At 39.5% G+C, this 4,013-nt stretch overlaps 1 annotated feature.

Annotated features, from left to right (window-relative positions):
* Positions 336–955: an enhancer, noted in NCBI's record as "OCT4-NANOG-H3K27ac hESC enhancer chr7:68983024-68983643 (GRCh37/hg19 assembly coordinates)". NCBI's record gives its function as "activates a minimal SCP1, AML or CMV promoter by ChIP-STARR-seq in naive H9 embryonic stem cells {active_cell/tissue: H9 hESC(naive)}" and the evidence as "EXISTENCE:reporter gene assay evidence [ECO:0000049][PMID:30033119]".

The raw sequence follows: 4,013 nt of genomic DNA on the forward strand, positions 1-4,013 counted from the left end.
CTCAGCCTCTCAAAGTGCTGCGATTACAGGTGTGAGCCACCGCGCCTGGCCATTGCTGCTGTTGTTTTAAGCCCAGGGTTGGAAACCATGTATTCATTATATTAACTATCTGTTCTTTTTCTACATGTTAGAAATATTTCATAATACAAACAACATTTTGACCCAACAAAAAGACCCAAATGCTCCTAACTGCCAGGACCTATAAACCAGTGCAGGTGAATGATTCAGAAAAAAAAAAAAGTTGTGATGTATATGAAGGTGTCGAGAGCCTATTTCTATTGGTGGCATGAGACGGGCCTGGGGCCAGGTGAAAAAAAAATCTGACCTTCTGGGAAAAGGCTCTTGCAGTACGCCTGAAAACAAGATGACATGTCTTTAATGCCAATATAGGGTTGAAAGGTTAGCATCCATATAATAACCGGCCGCCAAACACCTTGCACAGACCTTGTTACATATAAGCAGGCAGAGATGACTCAACTCTCTAAATCTGGGAAACAGCCTGCCCGTTATAACCAGGCGCCGTGACATTTTGGAATATGTATTGGCAAGGTTCTCCATGTTAAATAGCTTTACAAGTTGTTATTAGAATCACGTTAGCTCGGTGCTACAGTGAATGTCCCACGTCCACAGGCGATTCTCTCCAAGAAACCTATTGATTTGCTTTTCTTCTCTTTTCCTTCTGAATAGCAACTGACAGACAAAGGGGAGCTGGCCAGGGCCTTTGATGGTAATGCCAGTTGAACAATAGCCCTGCTTGTGGCAAGCACCCTCTTTGTTCAGCCAGGAGAATGCTGAGCCGGTTGCTCATTGGATCCAGTGTATGTGGGTGGCCAGAGCAAGGTGCATTTGGCAGCCAGATGTAGATTCTGGGTGGTATGAGCTGACTGTCCAGATAGCTAAAGCTTGGGACTTGGCTGGAACTCCCCTGGCTGGTGCAATCAGAGAGACCAGATGGACTCGTCTTCTCGTCCTTTGAAGATGGTGTCCTTTATTTAGCTAAAGGGAAGAGGCAGCCAACTATCTGACCTGGAAAGCATTCTCAGGCAGCCTGGTCCTTTTCGTACACATCTAAGAAAAAGGGAAAGTGCACTGTTGAAAGGAAATTTAGGGAGAGCCTTTGCAAGCCACCAAGGACGTTGCAAAATTACACTTATAAATGGGCATCAGAGGTTCTATTAACCAGTGGGAGCTTCCCCTTTATTTTCCTGGGGCAGTTCCGCTTAGAAGGCAGATGACACTGCAGGGAATTTGTCACTATTCTAGGGGCTTCTGTGCTGTTGCTGTCAATGCTACTACGGCTACTGCTGCCACCAAAGAAGCTAGAAAATGCCTGGAATTCAAATAACAGACATCCAGAAGCTGGAAATGCCCCATCATTTTTTTTTTTTTAAGAGACAGGATCTCTGCCTGTCACTCAGGCTGGAGTGCAGTGGCACCATTATAGATCACTGCAGCCTCTATAAACTCCTAGGCTCAAGCCATCCTCCCATCTCAGCCTCCTGAGTAGCTGGGACAACAGGTATGCACCACCATGCCCAGCTGATTTTTTTTAAGAGATGGGGTCTTACTATGTTGCCCAGGCTGGTCTCAAACTCCTGGCCTCAAGTGATTCTCCTGCCTTGACCTCCCAAAGTGCTGGGATTACAGGCATGAGTTACCACATACAGTCAATAGTGTTCTTTAAAGCATAAAAGTTTTGGCTGGGTGCAGTGACTCATGCCTATAATCCCAGCATTTTGGGATGCCAAGGCAGGAGGATGACTTGATGCCAGGAGTTCAAGAAGTGAGAGCCCATCTCTACAAAAAATACAAAAATTAGTCAAGCATGGTGGCACATATCTGTAGTCCTAGCAACTCAAGAGGCTGAGGCAGGAGAATCACTTGAGCTCAAGAGTTCAAGGCTGTAGTGAGCTGTGATTGCACCACTGGACTCCAGCCTGGGTGATAGCAGAACCCATCTCAAATTAAAAAAAGGAAAAAAAAATCACAAAAGTTTTGAAATTTGAAGTTCAGTTTATCTATTTTTTTTCTGTTGTTACTTGTACTTTTGGTGTCATATCTAAAAAACTTTGCACCAGCCCAATGTCATGAAAATTTACTCTTTTGTTATCTTCTACGAGTATAGTTTTAACCCTTGCATTTAAGTCTATGGTCCATTGTGAGTTAATTTTGGCACACAGTGTGAAGAAGGGGTCCAACTTCATTCATTTGCATGTAGATATCCAGTTGTCCCAACTGTTTGTTGAAAAGACTATTTTTTTCTCCTAAATTGTCTTGGCATCTTGTCAAAAATCAATTGACCATACATGTAAAGGTTTATTTCTGGACTCTAAATTTTATTCCATTGATCTATATGTCTATCCTTATGCCAGTATCAGAGTACTTTGAACACTGTAGCTATTTAGTAAGTTTTGAAAGGAAGCATGAGTCCTCCAAGTGTGTTCTTCAACATTGCTTTGGCCATTGTGGTCCCTTGCATTTTCATTTGAATTATAGGATCAGCTTGACAATTTCTACAAAAAGGTAGCCTGGATATGACAGATATGCATTGAAGCTATTGATCAATTTGGGAATGTTACCACCTTACCAATATTATCTTCAATCCAGGAACAAGGGATATCATTCTATTTACTTAGGTATTTCTATTTTTTCATGCTAATGTAACTGTAATTGCTTTCTTACTTTCATTTTTGAATTGTTCATTGCTAGTATACAGAAATTGAATCAATGTTTTGTATAGTGATCTTGTACACTACAAGTTTTCTGAAGTAATTTGTTCCAATAATGTGTTTGTGTGTGTTTCTCTCTCTCTCTCTGTGTGTGATATGTTTTAAGATTTTCTTTCTTTTTTTTTAATAGAGACCTGGTCTTACTATGTTGCCTAGGCTGAAGTACAGTGGCTATTCACAAGTGCAGTCATAGTTCACTACAGCCTCAAACTCCTGGGCTCAAGTGATCCTCCTGCCTCAACCTCCTGAGTAGCTGGGACTACAGGCATGCACCACCACACCTGGCTCTATTTCTTAAGATTTTTCCATATACAAAATGATGTTATCTAAAAATAGAGATAGTTTTACTTCTCTCTTTCCAATCTGGATGTCTTTTCTTTTTATTGCGTAGTTGCTTTGGCTAGAACCTCCAGTACAATGCTGAATACAGGTGGTGAGAGCAGACATCCTTGTCTCGTTCCCGATCTTAGGGTGAAAGCTTTCAGACTTTCCCCATTAAGTACAATATTAGCTTTGGGTGTTTTGTAGATGATCTTTATCAGGTTGCAGAATTTTCCTTCTATTCCTAGTTTTGTTGAGCTATCTGGCCTGAGATTCTCTTTGTGGGATGTTTGAAAATTAATTGTCATAGTTTTTAGACTATAGACTGATAGTTCTATCAGTCTTTTTACTTGTTATAGTTCTCTTCAGATTTTCTAATTCTTCTTGAGTCAAATTTGGCTGTTTGTGTCATTCAAGAAATTAGTTCATCTCATCTAAGTCATCAAACTAATTGGCATACAGCTGTTCATAGTATTCCCTTACAATCATTTTCATTTATCTAAGATACATGGTGACATCTACTTTTTTATTCCTGATTTTAGTAATTTGAGTCTTTTTTATTTTTTGGTCATTCTAGGTAAAGGTTTGTCATTTTTGTTGATCTTTTCAATCAATTTTTTGGGTTTGTTGATTTTTTTTTATTGTTCTATTCTCTAGCTCATTAATTTCCACTCTAATCTCTACTGTTTCCTACCTTCTGCTTCCTTTAGGTTTAGTTTGCTTTTAAATTTCTGGTGTCTTAAGATGAAAGGTGAGGTTATTGATTTAAGGTATTTCTTTTTTAATATAAATATTTACAGCTATAAGTGTATCTCTAAGTAGTGCTTTAGCCGCATCCCACAAGTTTTAGTATGTTGCGTCTTCATTTTCATTCCTTTCAAAGTATTTTCTGATATTCCCTGTGATTTTTCTTTGACTCAATTGGTTATTTAGAAGTGTGTTGTTTAATTTCCACCTATTTTT

Source organism: Homo sapiens, chromosome 7, assembly GCF_000001405.40.
Source record: "Homo sapiens chromosome 7, GRCh38.p14 Primary Assembly".
In the NCBI taxonomy this organism is placed as follows: Eukaryota; Metazoa; Chordata; class Mammalia; order Primates; family Hominidae; genus Homo; species Homo sapiens.